This window comes from Homo sapiens, chromosome 1 (genome assembly GCF_000001405.40).
Source record: "Homo sapiens chromosome 1, GRCh38.p14 Primary Assembly".
NCBI lineage: Eukaryota > Metazoa > Chordata > Mammalia > Primates > Hominidae > Homo > Homo sapiens.
The window spans coordinates 167333920-167354136 of NC_000001.11; the positions used below are offsets into that span (position 1 = coordinate 167333920).

The 20217-nt window shown below is 38.0% G+C and overlaps 1 protein-coding gene across 13 annotated transcripts in view; it reads left to right on the top strand.

Moving 5' to 3' along the window:
* POU2F1 (POU class 2 homeobox 1) overlaps window positions 1-20217 on the top strand; it is a 206461-nt gene that overhangs the window by 113035 nt on the left and 73209 nt on the right. For 2 of the 13 annotated variants that reach the window (NM_001365848.1, NM_001365849.1), the window contains one exon: window positions 4051-4339. The exons of the other annotated variants lie outside the window; for them this stretch is intronic. In NM_001365848.1, the coding sequence (NP_001352777.1) occupies window positions 4288-4339 (52 nt within the window). In that variant the 5' untranslated portion in view covers window positions 4051-4287. The remainder of the gene's footprint in view (window positions 1-4050; window positions 4340-20217) is intronic. 13 annotated transcript variants of the gene reach the window in all.

Below are 20217 nucleotides of genomic sequence, written 5' to 3' on the forward strand. Positions count from 1 at the left end.
CTGATCCCCTTAAGAGACTAGAGGGTGGGGCAGTGGGCAGGACACCTGTGCCTAAAGAACAGCTTCAAAGAAGAAACATACTTTTTTTTTCCCTAAGGGAAGATAAGCAAATGATTGGAAAACACTGAAAATAGCCATTACATCAGACTACATGGAAATCCCTGTATCTACTTTAATGCTACTACTGTAATAGCAGTTTCAGCAGTTACCATTTATTGAGCAACTACAACACTTTTTTTTTTTTTTTTTTTTTTTTTTGAGATGGAATTTTGCTCTTGTTTCCCAGGCGGGAGTGCAATGGTGCGACCTCGGCTCACTGCAACCTCTGCCTCCTGGGTTCAAGCGATTCTCCTGCCTCAGCCTCCGGAATAGCTGGGATTGCAGGTGCCAGCCACCATGCCCAGCTAATTTTTTGTATTTTTAGTAGAGACAGGGTTTCACCATGTTGGCCGGCTGGTCTTGAACTCTGTGGGCATTACCTGATTTCGAGTTAAGTTATTTTGACAAGTTAGATACCATTATTTCAAATTATAGGAAATTGAGGCACAAAACCAGCCAGGAAATAAAGTCAGGTTTAGGATTCGCAGCCCACATGTAAGTTTCCCCATGAAGTGCAATAAAATAAAACTGAAAATTTAAGCAACACATTGTGTATGTCCAGACCTGTATAAGGTAAGTTCTGACTGGAGCACTTGTTGTAACCGTCTTGTGAATTTCTTGCCTCGTTTTAATATAGAATGTGTGGCAGACTGGTTCCTATCAGACTTGCATATTTACTTACCATGTTTGATATATTAGATATAAAATTACAGTTTATTTAGATAATTGTATGCTTACAAATTGATTTTTATTTAAGCATATAACAAATGAGCCTTCAGACTCTTGAGTTGTTAGTTAACTATTCTTTTTTTGGTAGTTTATGAAAGCAAGTAAAATGTTTAAGGGGAAGAACGCTTAACATTATAGTAAAACTGAAGCCTCACAATTTCTGGATTCAGAATATGTTTGTGTAGATCATTTTTTCCTGAAATGTTTACAATTGTAATAATTTTGATTTGTGACACTTTAAGGAGAATGATATTGTAAAATTATTTTAAGATTGTGTTGATACGTTAATTCTATACCTTCTGTCATTGATTCGAGAGGCAAAATCAAATGATGCACTTTTTGTCAAATAGTCCTTTTATGTTTGCAGAAAATTTATAGTTTAGGTTTTTAAAAAATGTATTCAGTAAGTGCCCGTTCTATGTGTAAAGTACTATAATCAGTGTTATTAGGATGTACAATGCAAATAGATGAAATAACCCTCAGTCTTTAAGGAGTTAACAATTCATTAAGAGATAAGACAGATAAATAACTGATTCTGGATAGATTATGGTAAATAATTCAAGAGGAGGTACAGAAAAGTGCCATAGTGGTGTTAATTAGGTGTTTCTTTGAAGAAATTTGTGTATGTTTATAGGTCAGGTGGAAGGACCCATCAGGGAGCAAGAGAGTGGAGAAAGAAATACAATTAATTGAACCAAGGTAGGGGTGAAGGTCTAGGATCAGAAGTGCAGAATGAAGGGTTGACTCTGAACATGAAAAAGACTACCCCATGTCTCTAAAACTGGGGAGAAGAAGCAAATATTATACAGTAACAGAGAATTGAAATGGAAGGGAGAAGCAAAACTGAGCAATCATTCACATCAGATTGCTTCATTTTTCTCATTAAAGTAGTTGAGGTGGTCATCTGAGAGGAAGGCAGGGATAATAGTAATAATAATGGCAGCAGCTACTGTTCTTTGAATTCTTACTGTAGGTGTCTGGCTAGCCACTTTATTATATATACTTTATGTCGTAATTTTTAAAATACTCTTACAAGGTTAAGTAGATTTATAAAAAGGATTGATGAGCCTTTTGAGGGTCAGTCTCAAAGAAAATAAATGTGTTAGCTTATCCAGCCAACCTAGTTATACAGCTGATCATTGAATAACATGGATTTGAGCTGCATGGCTCCACTTATATGCAAATATTTTTCATTAAATATGTTGGAATTTTTTTGAGATTTGCAACAATTTGGAAAAACTCACAAATGAACTGTGAAATATTGAGAAATATTGAAAAAAATTAAAAGATATGTAATGAATGCATAAACTATATGTAGATACTATTTTATCATCTATTACCATGAAATATCACAAATGTATTAAAATTATAAAACCTTAAAATGTATCAGAACTTACGCACACACTCGATCACATACATGGCACCATTCACAGTCTAGATAAATAGAAACAAATGTAAACAATACAGTATAAATCGTAATTGGATAAAATTAACTGCATTACCTACTATACTACTGTAATAATTTTGTAACCACCTCTTGTTGCTATTGCAATGATCTCAAGTATTGTGAGTATCCATTTAAAATGCCATGTGACCCTAATCATGTCACAGTGAACAGTTCATCCAGTAAATTGTGTATTGCAGTAAAAAGTGATCTCTCTATGTCCTTGAGTATTTTGCATCCTGTTTAGTGCAATAACCTAAACCTTAAATAATGCCATAAGACCTATACGAAGTACCACTGGTGGTGCCAGAAGTGTTCCCCAAAGCAGAGGCAAGTCATAATGTTATAGGAAAAATTTGAATTGCTTGATGTATACTATAGATTGAGGTCTGCAGTTATAGTTGCCATCCATTTCAAGATAAATAAATTAAGTGTAAGGACGATTATTTAAAAAAAAAGAAAAGGAAATTCATGAAGCCTTCACTGCAGCTACACCAGCAGACATGAAAAACTTGAACTTTTTGCTAAATACCTTTTTATTTCATTGAAAATACCGGCCTGGTGCAGTGGCTCATGCCTGTAATCCCAGCACTTTGGGAGGTTGAGGTGGGCAGATTGCTTAAGCCCAGGAGTTCGAGACCAGCATGGGCAACATGGTGAAACCCTGCCTCTACTAAAAATATAAAAAACTAAGCCAGGCGCCATGGCTCATGCTTGTAATCCCAGCACTTTGGGAGGCCAAGGTGGGCGGATCACCTGAGGTCAGGAGTTTGAGACCAGCCTGACCAACATGGTGAAACCCCATCTCTACTAAAAATACAAAAAAATTAGCCGGGCATGGTATAGCTGTAATCCCAGCTACTCTGGAAGCTGAGGTAGGAGAATTGCTTGACCTCAGGAGGTGGAGGTTGCAGTGAGCCGAGATTGGGCCATTGCACTCCAGCCTGGGCAACAAGAGCGAAACTCCATCTCAAAAGAAAAAAAAAAAAGCTAGGTGTAGTGGTGCACACCTGTACTCCCAGCTGCTTGGGGGAAGAGGTGGAAGAATCACCTGAGCTTGGGCAGTCGAGGCTACAGTGAGCTGAGATCACGCCACTGCACTCCAGCCTGGGTGACAGTGAGACCTTGTCTCAAAAAAAAAAGAAAGAAAAAAGAGAATGCAGCTTTTATGTGGGTGCAGGATTGCTATAAGAAAGACATACCTTTGGACTCTAATGTGATTTGAGAGGAAGCACAGTTGTTATACGACAGCTTAAAAGGCAGGTGAAGGATCTAAAGCTGGAGAATTTAATGCCAGCAAAGGATGGTTTGATAATTTTAGAAAGATGTTTGGCTTTAAAAATGTCAGGATAACGGAAGAAGCAGCTTCTGCCAACGAAGAGGCAGCAGACCTCAAGTTCTCAGATGCCATGGAGAAAATCAGTGAAGGCCGTCTGTGGTGGCTCACACCTGTAACCGCACCATAGCTGGACCCCATCTCTACCCTCACCCCACCCCCTGCAAAAAAAAAAAAAAGATAAGACAAAAGAAGGAAAATCATTGAAGAGAAAGGATATCTGCCTGAACAGGTTTTTAATGCAGACAAAAGCGCCCTATTCTGAGAGGGAAAAAATGCCACAAAGGACATTGATTAGTAAGGAAAGACATGAAAGCACACCAAGATTTAAGGCAGGAAGGAATAGGCTAACAGTACTGTTTTGTGCAGATGCAATCGGGTTTATGATCAGGACAGCCCTATCTATATCCTATTAAAGACTGCTTTTTGCCTTCTTTTACAGCATGGACCCTTTTATGATATGGGCACTGAAACTAAAGCACATGGTGGAAGAAGGATTGGTAGCATATAGAAACATTTTTAGACAAATGAAAAAGCAAAAAAGTCAGAAATTACAGTGTATTTCCATAAAGTTACACCAAGTGTGCCTGCCTCTCCTGCCTCCCCTTCCAGCTTTTTGTCTTCTGCCATTTCTGAGTCAGCAAGACCCCTCCTGTTCCTCCTTCTCAGCCTACTCAGCATGAAGACAAGGATGAAGATCTTTGTGATGATCCACTTCCACTTAATGAATAGTAAATATATTTTCTCTCACTTAGGATTTTCTTTAGCTTACTTTACTGTAAGAATACAGTATATAATACATATACAAATATGTTTTAGTCAACTGTTTATGTTATCAGCAATGCTTCTGGTCAACAGTAGGCTATTAGTATTTGAGTTTTGTGGGAGTCAGATGTTACATGCAGATTTTCAACTGTTTGTGGGGTCGACACCCTTGACTCCGTTGTTCAGGGTTCGACTGTATGACCTTTCTGTAGCCTAGATCAGCAGTCCAAACTCAGGAATGAAGAAAATGGAACATTGGATTATTGTGCCAAAATAGTATACTATCACCAAAAAAGAAAGAGATAGAAGGGAGTGGTAATATTTTTTATAACATAGTTGTTTGCACAAGGATGCTTCCCTTTGGAAAGATGGTATTTCCCCATTCTTCCCTCTCCTCCACCTTTGGTAAAGTCTATTCTATGTTCTCAAGATTATTCCGTATTGTAGCATGTATCAGAACTTTATTTTTTATAAGATATTCCATTGTATGTATATACTACATTTTGTTTATGCATTCATTTGTTAATGGGCAGCTGGATTGTTTTTACTGTTTGGCTATTATGAGTAATGTTGCAGTGAACTTTGGTGTACAAGTATCTGTTTGAGTTCCGTTTTTCAATTCTTTGGTTTATATACCTAGGAGTAGAATTGCTGGGTAAAACAGAATACAAACTTATTATCTTACAGTTTGGGAGGTCAGAGTCCTAAAATGAGAGTGTTGTAAGTGCTTTATTTCTTCTGGAGGTACTATGGAAAGTCCATTTCCTTCTCTTTTCCAGCTTCTAGAGACCACCTGCACTCCTTGGCTTATGGCCCCTTCCTCCATCTTCAAAGCCAGATGTATAGCATTGTCAAATCTGTTTCCTTCCCTCCCTTTCCTGTCCCCCTCCTCCCCTCAACCCTGCTTCCATCATCATATTTCCTTCTCTAACTCTCCTGTCCCCATCTTTTCTTTAAACACTTACTATCCTGAACTTCATTGGATTTGCAAAATACCTTTTGCCGTGTCAGGTAACAAATTCACAGCTTCCAGGAATTAGGATGATTATTAGGCCCATCTTTGATGGGCTGTTGTTCTGCTTTCCCACAAGATTTTCTCCTAAATTAAAGCTGATCATCTCTATTTTAGATGATAGTTGGAAAAGTAAAGAAGTTGTTTGAAGTTTTACAAGGTTTGGTAGGAAAAAACTAAATCAACTATTTTGATGTAAAGAAATATTGAGGGAAAAAGGAATATTGGACAAACATTAAAGTTTTGCTCACTTTTAACTCAAAGGGCAGACCTCTTTCATCAGTACTCCTGACAGATGGTTATCTGCCCTGTGCCTGGGTTCATGCACTGACACAGAACACAGTACTTTCTAGTGTTATCTGTTCTCTGGTATTACAACTCTGTTTTCTACATTCTTTTGAATTTTGTCCTTAGGAGTTTGTCATCTTTTAAGAAATTAAAGCTCTTCTGAAAGTCATTGTCACATTTTAACTCTTTTCCATTCATTTGACAATTTATTACAAATTAATTTACTATAAAGTAGTAATTTATTATAAAACAATTTGTTATAATCATTTGTACTAGAATATGATGATAGTGGCTAGCATTGATTAAGTATTTACTGGGTGATTTAAACATTTTACATAGATTATCTCATTTAATCCTTATAAAAACCTCATGAAACATTATTTTTCTCTTTTTATAAATAAGGGTCTCTTTTTATAAATAAGGAAGTTGAGGCTCAGAGAGGTTCAGTCACTTGATGAAGGTCACACAGATAGCTATAAAGGGGAGCAGAACCATTCTTTTTTTAAGATGGAATTTCACTGTCGTTGCCCAGGCTGGAGTGCAATGGCACGATCCTGGCTCACTGCAACCTCCACCTCCCGAGGTCAAGCAATTCTCCTGCCTCAGCCTCCCAAGTAGCTGGGATTACAGGCATGCAACCACCATGCCTGACTAATTTTGTATTTTCAGTAGAGATGGGGTTTCTTCATGTTGGTCAGGCTGGTCTCGAACTCCTGACCTCAGGTGATCCGCCCACCTTGGCTTCCCAAAGTGCTGGGATTAGAGGTGTGAGCAACTGCACCCAGCCCAGAACCATTCTTTTACCCTTTGAGCTATGTTGTTTCTTTTTTCTTTTTTTCTTTTTTTTTTTTTTTTTGGAGACAGAGTCTCACTCTGTTGCCCAGGCTGGAGTGTAGTGGCACGATCTCGGCTCACTGCAACCTCCACCTCCTGCATTCATGAAGTTCTCCCGCCTCAGCCTCTCAAGTAGCCGGGATTACAGGTGTGCGCCCCCACGCCCAGCTAATTTTTGTGTTTTTAATAGAAACTGGGTTTCACCATGTTGCCCATGCTGATCTTGAACTCCTGGCATCAAGCGATCCACCTGCCTCAGCCTCCTGCTGGGATTATAGGCATGAGCCACCATGCCTGCCCTGTTGTTTCTTTTTGTCTCCGATGCGCAAGATAACAGTACTAAGTAACATCAGTGAAGTTGAATAAAAGACTGATTTTGTTCTCAATAAATTTATCTTATAGAGAAAACATATATGAAAATGTAATATAACAGAAATTGAGACGATTCATGAGAAGTATATGTGAACCCATGAGAATTCAGTGTAGGGGAAAAGTGTTTCTAGCTGGGAGGATCAGAGAAGGCTTTGGAGAAGGTGGAATTGAAACTGTATCTTACAGGCTGGGTAGGGTTTAAATCATGATGATGCTAGGCAATTTATGTTCAGCATGAAGAAACAGTCAAAGCTGAGATGGGGGAAGAAATCTGTCCTAAATGTCTCTAATTCCTTCAAAAGATTTCCATTATGTCATCTGATTTCTAGATCTTTTATCTTTTAGTCATTCACAGAATTAGACAGTATTCCAATTCTTCAGACTTCATTGCAGCCATTACCATTACCTTTTGCTTATTATTATCTTTGAAAACTTACCATTGGCTTATTATAATTATTTTTATAATGCAGGTAAAAAGGATATTTAAATATATTTTAATATAAATGTTAATATATTTAATCAGATTTTCTGATACTTGTTTTGTAATGTGAAAAGTTGTTTTAAAGCAGCTGACTCATCTGTTGTAATGAATTTACAGTCAATTAACTGTCTTTTTTTCATCTGAATTATGATAGATAGATCCAAGGCTTCCCTATCCTGTCCTTTTTCACTTGCTTTTTTCATTTGAATTGAAAGGGGAGAGTTCCCTGACCCCCCTTGCAGGACATGCGACAGGGAGTGGCTCATATGTTTGGCTGCCCACACTCAAACCTCTTAGAGGAAGGGAAGCACACAGACTGGCAGGTGCAGGAGTTATGGTAAGCACTTTCTGGGCTCTGGCCACATGATAGTGTCTAGGGGTGGGTGTCTGCAACTCCCAAAGCCCAAGTGGGCACATGTTTCAGTGCACTCTTTTAGCCTTGCCATCTACAGACAGCTTAAGTGTTAGCTCAGTGATCCTCTTGGTACCCAAGTCCTTGTGCGGCGTCCAGGAAGAATCAGGTCACACATGGACTTGAAGGATGAATTCAGGGGTTTTGTTGAGCGGTGGAGGTGGCTCTTAGCGGGATGGATGGGGAGCTGGAAAGGGAATGGAATGGGAAGATGATCTTCCCCTAGAGTTTGGCCATCCAGCAGCTGATTTCCTCTTTGACCACCCCCAGTCGAATTCCTCTCAACATTCAGACATTCCTTCTCTTCTCTCTGCCACACCATTCTGCTGTTCTTCTGCTCTACTGTTCATGTCTTCTGGAGCCTGGGGTCTGGGGGTTATATGGAGCCACGATAGTGGGGTATGGCAGGCCAAAAGGCAACTTTTGGGCGCAAAAACAGAAATACCTGTTCCCATTTAGGACCATGGGTTTCCAGGCTTGAGGGTGGGGCCTTTGCTGGGGAACCACCCTCTTCTACCCAGTATTTCCCTGTCTCCTGTTCATATCAAAATGATTTTTCCCCAGGATAGTATCACTATATTTCAGGCAAATGAAAAGTCAAAAGAAATTTGTTAATGTAACCTAATATACATAAATACAATAGTATTTTTGGAATAATATTTATGGGCTTGTATTCCAAAAATACTGTCATCCAAAGTTCCTAGTAACCAGTGATGTTATTAATTCTTTGGGATTTACTAGTGCTATGGCTGGTATTAGGACATTATATGCTCATTTATATTCATAAAAGAGCATGATCAGATATCATTTTCTCCAAGATGAAGAGAAAGAATCCTGAAAGACCAGGGTACCAGTGAATAGACTTGCTATTCTTCATAGTAATTTAACAACTTGATGCCTTGAACCAGCACTAGTTTTGGAAATAATTTCCAGATAAAATACCAGTGTTTTCCAGAAAAGCCTCAAAATAGACCTCAATATAGTTCTTGTTAAACCAGAATGGAGCATTTGCAAATTTCAGACACTTAAGGATTATTTTCCTTTTGAACTTACGTTTATCCAGAGGCCATTTTTAATATTCTTACTGCTTTTATTATTATTTTAAAATTTATTACATATTTTATTGTGTAGACTACATTCTGCCCTGGCCAAGCTGCTCTTATAAGCCTGAGAGTAGAAATACTAATTTTGTTTGGAGTACCTTTATAGCTAATTTTTAATTAGTGGGTCATTGAAAGTGGCTGAAGCATTTCCAGAGAGCCTCAGGAGCTCAGTGAAGGATCTTGGTGGTTTAGAAGCAAATACCAAACACCTGTAGGAAAGATAGACCTCCCTCTAGTGTTTGATTTAATAGATGTCAGTTACAGGATATGGCTTCTACAAGATTCTGATCAGTACGTATTGAGAAACTTGCCCTGGCTCTGCCCACTGGTGCACATGGGGATTTTAAAACTTTAGGTCAGGGGTGGGGGTCAAGGGGGAGAAGGGCGCTATAATTACTGAAGCTGTGCGAATAGGAAGTGACATCTGAATTAAGATTATACTTTTGTTAAATGACTGAATAAGCAATTGATCTTTTTGCCATGAGGTAACCCAGTAACAAATTTAGAATTTTAAAGGTAGTATCCATTTTTGTTCATTACTAATAGAAATTGAGAACATTAAAGAGAGGGTTTGTTTCTAAAATGCTGTTTTCAGTACAGATTATTAGAGATTGTCTATAATTTTCTCCCTTAGAGAGCAGCTTAGTTTTATTTCATGTTACTTTTTTCATTTTTTTTCCTAACAGATATTAAAGAATTTTTGGTATAAAAGAATTTTCCAGCCATGTTATACTTTACATCTTGCTTGAAGCCAAAAACTAGACTACATTATTCTTTCAATTAGATCCATTATATAACATCCTGGCATAGAGCAATGGCAATAGAAGCCAGGGGTCAATTTTTTTTTTTTTTTTTTTTTTTTTTTTTTTTTTTTTTTTTTTTTTTTTTTTTTGAAGGAAGGAAAGGGAGTAATTTAAAATGAATACTTGTATTTGCCTCGGGGCTGGGAGAGATGTGGTAGCATTCTCTGAGTAGGAACTGTACTGTTGGGGAGTAGACTTGACAATGAGATGATGAAACATTTCAGCACTGAAAATGTTGTACTTGGGGTGCCTTGTGGTGCTTGCAGGTGAAGATGTGGGCAATTGAAGATAGAGATAGGTTCCTGAGGAGAGGTGTAAGAGTCTTTAACAGGGAAATGCTACGGGGAGGAGAGTGGAATCAGCCAAGAGGACCAAGGACGGAGCTCTTCTAAGGTGTTGAAAGGGCTGGTAGAGGAAGAGGAGCCCATGCCTTTGTTGTCGAATAGGATGGACACTGACTGCATGTGGCTCTTTAAATTTAAATTAAATTAAATTAAATTAAAAATTCAATTCCTCAATCATACTAACCACATTTCTAGTGTTCAGTAGCCACGTGTAGTTAGTGACTACCATATTGGCCAGTACATATAATAGAACATTTCCATTATCACAGAAAGTTCTATTGGACAGTGCTTAAGTAGACTAAGAAATAACAACCATGGAGATCAGATGTGAATCAGACCAGTGAGCTCATGGAGTTAGCATTTAGTGTGGTCAAGTCCTGCCATAGGAGCCTTAAAATGTGACCCTTGAATTTGACAATTAGTTACTGTGGGCCTTTTAAAGATTTTAGTTAAGTGGTTTGGAAAGAAATTGCTGTGGTTAAGAAAGTGAATGGTTGTGTAAAGGGAATGATAAATGTAAGCAACTCTTTTCATGGAAGCTCTATATGGGGCTATATATATGTATCATAGTGGTTAAGAGCTCAGACCCTGAAATCAAACCCCATGGATTCATATCTTGCTCCTTTCACTTGCTAGTTGTGTTACCTTAGGCAAGTTACTTTTTTCATGTTAGAGTTTTTCTTAGCTGTAAGATGGAGATAAATAATAATCCATCTCATAGTCTTGTTGTATACACGGAAAGCAAGTAGGTATGTGGCACAGTCCATTCACTATCAGTGTTAGCTATCTATTAGGAGGAAGGGGAGGATGATAGAGAAGGAAAGAATGGGAGGGGACGTTAGAAGGGCCTCCTAGTGAAGCAATTTGAATATGTTTAGATGCTAAGGGAAAAGAGCCAGTGTAGGAGGGGAGTGGCAAAGAAAGAACAGATGATGCAGCCATAAAAAGGAATGAGATCGTGTCCTTTGCAGGGACATTGATGAAGTTGGAAGCCGTCATCCTCAGCAAACTAACACAGAAACAGAAAACGAAACACCACATTTTCTCACTCATAAGTGGGAGTTGAACAGTGGGAACACATGGACACAGGGAGGGGAACATCACATACCAGGGGTGAGGGTGAGGGGAGGGAACTTAGAGGACGGGTCAATAGGTGCAGCAAACCACCGTGGTACACGTGTACTTATGTAACAAGCCTGCATGTTCTATGTATCCCGGAACTTAAAGTAAAATAAATAAATAAGAAAGAACAGATGAGTCAGGGATCCATTTTTGAGGAGAGGGGAGGTGTTGGGTTTCAGAGCACGTGGTGGCTGAAGTAGCCTAAAGTAGAAGATTCCTTTTTTTGTTGTTTTTTAGGTGAGAAATGGGAGAGTAAAGGAGATAAAGACAGATTCAGATAGTAAGTTTTCAGGTAGAAGGGAATGTAAGAAAGCAGTCTAGAGAGGATTAGGAACAGTCAATTAGGGATTTCCTTGTGATACAGGGAAAACAAAACTGGGAATAGAATGCAATAAACAAGTCTAGGATTAAAATAAACACTATCAGCAGGATTTGTAGCAAAGTGTCATAATCCAAGTTAGGAAGGCTGACATCAGATAAACTCAGAAGGTAAAGAGCATTCATTGTGTTTCTGAGGAAGGCAGGAAGCTGCTACCGTTTAACTGGCTCACATCCTACAGGGAAAGATGAGCAAGGGAGCCTCTGACTAGGTTGAGAGGCAGAACAGAGATGGAGCAAGGTCAATGTTTGGTAATTTTCTCCACCAACAAAAATATTAATAAGATTTTAGGATATTAAAATAAGGTCTGTCTTTCTGGTTTTCTTGGTCTTCAAATATATTTCATTTATGTTCAATATTTAAGTTATTTGAAAAGTCTCAACAGCTGGTAAGTCATAAGACACTTATTTTTCTACAATTAAGAATAAAGTTAAGAGCCTGGAATAAGTGGCTCACACCTGTAATCCCAACACTTTGGGACATCAAGGCATGAGGATTCCTGGAGCCCAGGAGTTGAAGACTAGCCTGGGCAACATAGTGAGACCCGCATGTCTACAAAAAAAAAAAAAAAAACTTAAAAAAATTAACTGGGCATGGTGGCACATGCCTGTGGTCCCAGCTACTTGGGAGGCTAAGGGAGGAAGATCGCTTGAGTCTAGGAGGTCAAGGCTGCAGTGAACCATGATTGCGCCACTGCACTCCAGCCTGGGTGACAGAGTGAGACCCTGGATTTTTTTTTAAAAAAAGAATAATGTTAATGAAAACCTGTTTTAACTGAGTCTTTCATCCAGATAGACTTAACAATTTAGCAAACAGCCACCTATAGAAATCTTGTCATGCATCACTGATAATGCATTCATCTCTAAGGTGATGTATAAAAGTAATTTTAAAAATACACATACTATTATTACTTAGGAAGTAAAGGATATACAATCCAATCATTACAATCAAGTACAATCACTGTGGAGATTTTTAGCAGATAAGTAATACCTATCCATTCTATAGATCAGCAGCCCCCAACCTTTTTGGCCCCAGTGACTGGTTTCATGGAAGACAGTTTTTCCACAGACAGCGAGTAGGGGATGGTTTGGGGGATAAAACTGTTTTTTACCTCACATCATCAGTCATTAGTTAGATTCTCATAAGGAATGCACCACCTAGATCCCTCGCATACACTGTTCACATTACGGTTCACGCGCCTATGAGAATCTAGTGCCACTGCTGCTCTGACAGGAGGCAGCGCTCAGGCAATAACGCTATCTTGCCCACCACTCACCTCCTGCTGTGCAGCCTGTTCCTAGCAGGCCACAGATTGGCACCAGTCTTCAACCCAGGAGTTGGGGACCCCTGCTATAGATATTCTGTGTCATGAATTTTGATTATGCTTCTTACTTTTGTAGTGGCTTAGAATCTTTCTGTGGTTTTGTTTCTGTGATAAGTGATTCTCTTTCAGGATTTCCATTATCCCAGATTCTTCCCATTTTATGGCAGCTCAGATGGAAGAAACGCTCTCCACACAAACAATCTAAAAAATGAGCAGTAGCTAAGTTTTCCTAAAAGATCTTTTAGCTATTATTTATGTCCTGTGGTTGCTTGACTTTCTGTGAACTTCATTTGGAATTTGTCCTTGCTTATCAAGGTGATGTAGTGATGGGCACAGATATTGTCATTATTTCCTATAGGGTGTCGGAAATTTAGTCTATTGGTAATTTTGCCTTGACTGCCTTAAATTTACTTATAAATAGAAATATGTGAATAATGTATTTTTCCTCTTTATTATGTAGGTTTAATTGAAGTAGTATATTATTTTCATTACACATTAACATGTAGTATAGTACTATCTCAAATATAACTGCTGGGTGATGAAAAATAGCCTTCACAAACTCATGTTCCAAAATTTCTCAGGCCCTTATTCAAGAAATTGTTAATCTTATTTTCATGTGCACTTCTAACAGGGGTGCATTTCATAACAGATCATAAGCAGCCATTTATACAGACGAGGCTGGCTGCTCTAGGAAAGTAAGCCAGTAGAGCAGAAACTGTCAGATTTATACCAGAACTGCAGTCTTTTATTTTCTTTTTTAGATTGAGGTGAAATGCGTAACATAAAATTAACTATTTTAAAATGAACAATTCAGTGGCATTTAGTGTATTCACAGTGTTGTGCAGCTACCAATCTATCCAGGTCCAAAACATTTTCATCACCCCCAAAGGAAACCCTATACCCCTTAAGTAGTTGCTCTCCATTTTCCCCTCTCCCCAGCCCCTGACAACCACCAACCTATAGTTTGTCTCTATAAATTTACCTATTCTAGGTATTTCATGTAAATGAAATCATATGGTATGTGACCTTTTGTGTATGGCTTCTTTAACTTAGTATAATGTTTTCAAGGTTCATTCATGTAATAGCATATTATCAGTACTCATTCCTTTTATGGCTGAATGGTATTCCATTATATGGATATACCACAATTTGTTGGTGTCCCTTTGTCTCTTGATGGACATTTGGGTTGTTTCCACTCTCTTTGGCTCTTGTGAATAATGCTGCTGTGAACATTTATATACACGGATTTGTTTGAGTACTTGTTTTCATTTATTTTGGGTATATAGTCATGCATAACGTCAGGGATACATTCTGAGAAATGCACCATTGTATGAACATCATAGAGTATGTTTCACAAACGAAGATGGTATAGCCTATGACATACCTAAACTATATGATATAGCCTGTTTCTCCTAGGCTACAAATCTGTACAGTTAGTATACTGAATACTGTATGCAATTGTAACACAGTGGTATTTGTGTATCTAAACATAGAAAAGGTACAGTAAAAATAGGGTATTATAATCATGGTTCTATTGTTGCTGATGGAAATGTCTTTATATGGTACGTGACTGTATGTCTAGCAGTGAAGTTGCTGGGTCCACTTTTTGATGGTCCTTCAAATAGTTAAACATAGAATTACCGCCAAACTTTTTTCCATAGCAGCTGAACCATTTTATATTTCCACAATCAATGTACAAGGATTCCAATTTCTCTGCATCCCTGCCAACACTTATTTCTTCTTTAAAAAAATTACAGCCATTTTAATGGGATTAAATAATGTACTTTAAAAAGTGGCAACTCTTCATTCATTTTCCCCAGGAAATAATAATAACTGAAACCTCCTCCTTTTTTCCAATGTTTTTGTGTATTTTCCTCTATCTTATAGTCAAAATATCTTGTAATAATGAGATGAGAATGGGCAATAATAAATTGTGTTTACATCTAAGGCAGTTAGATGTTTGACTTGTCACCTTGGTTGTTTGTGCCTTGCTCTCTTACCCTGAACTACCTGTATCACCTCATCTCTCCTACATCTTAGCCACACTAAACCTCTCAAAACTCTTTGTACCTTTCTAAGAGCAAGTAAGTGCTCTGCTTTGCATGGCTTGAGGACAGTGACAGTACCTTATTCTTTTTTGTGTTCTACCTTCCACTTTTTTTAGATACCACTTTTCATAGATATCTTATTTTTTTTAATAGTGCTTGTCTTTTGTATTACTTATTTACTTGTCTGCCACCCAAACCTAACTGTGAGCTCCTTGTAGTATGGGAATATGACTTTGTAACCCTAGGACCTAACAGGGTATTTAAAATTGTTAAAATTCTTAGATTTTATTTTTTAACGTGGCCACGGTGTCTTCTACTTTTGGTATAGAAATGCTTGGTATTTTCTTCCCTCACTCAACCTTTTCCAATTAATTCCATCTCATCCTCTTAAGATTCATCTGAAATGTTGTCTCCAGGAAGCTTCCCTGACCTTGCCTTCTCCCTTTCCCCTTAAAGTCTTCTTTTAATGTTCTTGTCAGTAGCCTATGTGGTATCTGTTTTATACTTTCCACATTGTATATATATTTTTATGAATATGGAATTCATAAATGCATTACTTGTGCACCCCGGCCAGACTCGCTATCCCTTTTCCTCTTTATTTTTCCATAGCATTTATTTGTATCTGATATTCAATATTTTTTCATTTTTATTATCTATTTCCCAACTAGAATGTAAGCTCCACGAAGGACATTATTTTTGTCTCTCCACTGCTGCATCTCTGACACCTGGAACAGTGCTTGCTATACAGTATATGCTCAATACGTATTTTTTGAATGAATTAATCAGTTAATGAATAGGCCTGAGAACTACTTAAGAGCAGTGACTGTGGTGTATTCATTTTTATAACCTCAGCATCTGGAATATCAATTCTCAATAAATATTTATTGAATACAGCATTTATTTTTACAGCAGGATCTTTTGCTATGTGATATTCCTGGTTCTCATTTGTTGTTGTTTTTGTTTGTTCCTAAATAATTATATAAAAATAGAAAATGCACATAAGCAAAAATAATTGTTTCATTCAAAATAGGAGATGATTCAGTCATAGTCTTGTGTATATGGGCGTAATAATTTTATCTAAAGCCATTTCTTATAAAGGTAAAACTGTTCATTCAAGGGAAGAGAAATTTCTACTGAACTGTAAACATGAACACATCAGTTGGCTAAGATTTAAGAAAACAGCTGAATATTTTTATATTCATATTTCAAAGTAATCATTGCTTTGGAGTAGATTAAAAATAAAGGTTGTATAGGGTTTCAGGTGAGTTTTGATTAATAAGAAAAGATTACATACACATCAAGTTAGATTAAGTTCCCAATAAGCCAATGATACTAAGTATTATTGGGAGGCAAAGTCATTTCAGAACAGGTGTACTATACTTAATGTAGTTTCCCTTGCCCCCTGCAAGTAGGATCATATCAGATGAGAGAATAAAAAGAGTACCTTGCCTTTTTACATATTCAGGATTTTGGTCTCCGTTGAGAATGAATCTTTTTTGTTCTTTTGTTGGAAATGGGCTATTTACAAATATTTTCCAGGGTTCCAGAAAACTCAGTTCTCTGCAACCAACTTTCTTACTCTGATTTAATTCTATTTTGTCGTCTGTGTGATTCTGATACTTAGTCTGAGACCTATAGTAACAAATGTATTTCCATGCATTTAGCTAAAGAACATGGGGAACTGACATTGCAAAAGACAGATTTTTTTTCTCTTTAAAGTGTCATGATTTCCTTCAGATGTAGCTAGGTCCTGAACAGATGAGGCAGGAGAATTGCTTGAACCTGAGAGGTGGAGGTTGCAGTGAGCCAAGATCTTGCCACTGCACTTCAGCCTGGGCGACAGAGCAAGACTCCATCTCAAAAAAAAAAAAAAAAAGAAAAGAAAATGTATTATCTGTGTTAGGCTGGGCACGGTGGCTCATGCCTATAATCCCAGCACTTCAGGAGGCTGAGGCGGGCAGATCACCTGAGGTCGGGAGTTCGAGACCAGCCTGACCAACATGGAGAAACCCCATCTCTACTAAAAATACAAAATTAGCCAGGCGTGGTGGCGCATGCCTGTAATCCCAGCTACTAGGGAGGCTGAGACAGGAGAATCGCTTGAACCCGGGAGGCCAAGGTTGCAGTCAGCCGAGATCATGCCATTGCACTCCAGCCTGGGCAACAAAAGCGAAACTCCATCTCAAAAAAAAAAGTATTATCTGTGTTTTAATTTCTGGGCTCAAAAGGTTGATCTGTTTTGAAACTATTAATGTTGGCCAGTCATGGTGGCTCACACCTGTAATCCAAGCACTTTGGGAGGCTGAGGTGGGTGGATCACCTAAGGTCAGGAGTTCTAGACCAGCCTGGCCGACATGGTGAAACCCCATCCCTACTAAAAATACAAAAAATTAGCTGGGTGTGGTGGCACGTGCCTGTAATCTCAGCTCCTCAGGAAGCTGAGACAGGAGAATCGCTTGAACCAGGGAGACGGAAGTTGCAGTGAGCTGAAACTGTGCCACTTGCATTCCAACTTGGGCAACAAGAGCGAAACTCTGTCTCAAAACAAACAAAATTAGCTGGGTATGGTGGCACATGCCTGTAATCCCAACTACTTGGGAGGCTGAGGCAGGAGAATCACTTGAACCTGGGAGGCGCAGGGTTGCAGTGAGCCGAGATCGCGCCACTGCACTCCAGCCTGGTCAGGAAGAATGAAGCACCATCTCAAAAAAAAAAAAAAAAAAAAAAAAGAAAGAAAGAAAAAAAAGAAAAGAAACTATTAATGTTATATCTTAAGTAATGATTAAACGTCCTAAGGAAAACTAGATTTTATAGGAGTTAAGATTTTGGAAATATTATTTATAATTAGGCTGGCCCTTAAAGTCTTCTTGAAGGAAGTAGATTCCAGGCTGGATATTTCATAATGACTAGGATTTTCAGAGCTAGAGAGGAGGGTGAAGGATATCTGCATTTTCATCCTATTTGAGGGTTTCACCTTAGCTTTCTCCCTGACTCTCCTCTCCTCCCTCCCACCTCTTCTTTTCTCCTTCTTTCCCTAATGTGTAATGTTTCCTCTCTCATTTATACATTTTAAAATTAATGTTCATAGGATATAGATTTCCATTCTCATTTGTGGAAAAATGACAACAGGAATAGGATAAAGGAGAGGACTGTCCTCCCACCGCAAAAATAGATGCACACCTGGGCAGAATTCAAACAGCAGAAGTGTGTCTCTTTTAAGAGACTGGAGACTGATTGCTTTGGAGATGACATTGAAGGATAAATTGAAAGGATGCCCATTTTAGGAAAATTTTAGCAATAAAAATTAAAGCTGTTATCACAACTTAATGGTAATACTCATCATGGTAGAGAATTTGAAAAATACAGAATAATGTATTCACTATTAACATTTTGATGCATTTCCTATTTGAAGACGTTTTTTGACAAAGTTGTCCTTTATAAAATGTAATATTTCTTGTGGGCTATAAAATTTGATTTGATTCCTTTTTAAAAACTTTATTTTAATGTAAAAGAAATGTAGTTGAAGTAGCTAGCTGTGAGATAGATAGCAAAGGCCAGAATTCTACTACTTTGTCATCTTATGTCCCCTTATGAGCCTGATCATGGCCTCAATTACTGATTTGTCACTTAGCTAATATTTGTGAATGAGCATTGAATTGGAGTCCTTCGTCATTGGATGGTTTAGTAGAAAGGGCAATTGGGAGAGAGTTGAGGCAGGGGTGCTAGACAAATCGGTGGAAGGCTCGGAATTTCAGTCTGAGCTCAATTACTATCCAGCTTGGTTATTTCAGTGGAAGTATTTCTGTATATTAGAAAAAATTTCTTATTTGTAAAACAAGGAGCTTGATTAGTTCTTTTTAATGTCCCTTTCAGCTTTACCATTTCCAAAATATGAAATAAATAGAATCATGTGGATGTACCCTTTGAATCTGGCTGCTTTTACTTAGTATAGCGGGCTTGAGATTCATATTCATCTGTGTCATATGTACTTTAGCTCAATTTTATTTCTTCCCTCACTCCCACAAAATGTTGAGGAAGTACCAAATGTGTTTTCGTAGTAAGAAGGTATAGATTATTGCTTTTGGGTTAGAGAGATGGGAAACATGAAAGAAAATAGCATTTGAGCTGAGCGCTGAAAGACATTTAAATGCCTGAATCCTGTGCAAAGCTGAGTAATATGAACTGTTCATGAAGGGAAGAAACCTTTGCCTATTTGATCCTTGACTGCTGGCTATGAAGAGAAAAACAGAACTTTCTGGGAGATGAGGACTCTCCAGTGCTTGAACTTAATATAAATCCAACTGTCTCTCAGCTGGGTCTTCACTGTCACTGGTGCTAACCTTGGATTCACCTCTAATTTATTCCCTGTCACATTTTTCATTGCATATTTCCAGTCTTCTCTATTTCTGTTTTGCTCTTTCGTTTTCTGAAAATATCTGCCTTTTGATTACTGAAAAAATTGTAGCTGTCTGATTTGAGCCTCACCACCTCCCTCTTCAATACTTTACATTTTTCTGTTTTTACCTACCTTCTCCTTTTTTTTTTTTTTGCATCTGACAAAGAAATATCTCTCTTTACCCCCACCGCCTCCATTATTTGAATTGTCTTCTCGTACCCTTCAGGTTTCTGCCCTATCTTTCAACCGCTATTGTTCTTACCTTTTCAGCATATCCCTTCCACAGACTCTTTCAGTCTTTTAAGTTTGCTCAGGTTTTATCAACCTCAAGTCTTTCCTTCCACCCTATCTGCCCCTTTGAATTATCATCCTCACGCTGTCCCGCCAGTACCTGACTTATGAAAGAAACGATCATCACTCACCACCTTGGCTTCATTATTACCTGCTTTTGCCTTTATTCCTTGCAATCTGGATGTGTACCCAGAATTTTGTTGCACTTTTTTTTATTGTTGATTCTTTTACGATTTTATGCAAAAGTAATTGTAAAAACTTGTATGTAAACATGAATGTAGCGTTTAAGTACTCATATCTACCACTGTGGCCATAAAGTAGAATGTTACCATTCCTCAGAAGGCTTCTGTAGGCCCACCCTGAACATATTCCATTTTTCTACCACAAAAATAACCACTATCCCGAAGTTAGCGTTAATGGTGACATTGCTTTTCACTCAAAATATTTTTCCATCTACATATTTATCCTCAAATAACACATTACTTAGATTTGCCTGTTTCCATAATGAAATTGAATTATACTGTACCATGGATATTTTATTACTGATTTCTTTTGCTCAACATTATGTGTTTGAGATTCATCCATGTTAGTACATATACCTATAATTCATTTTCACTGGATATAATATCCCATTG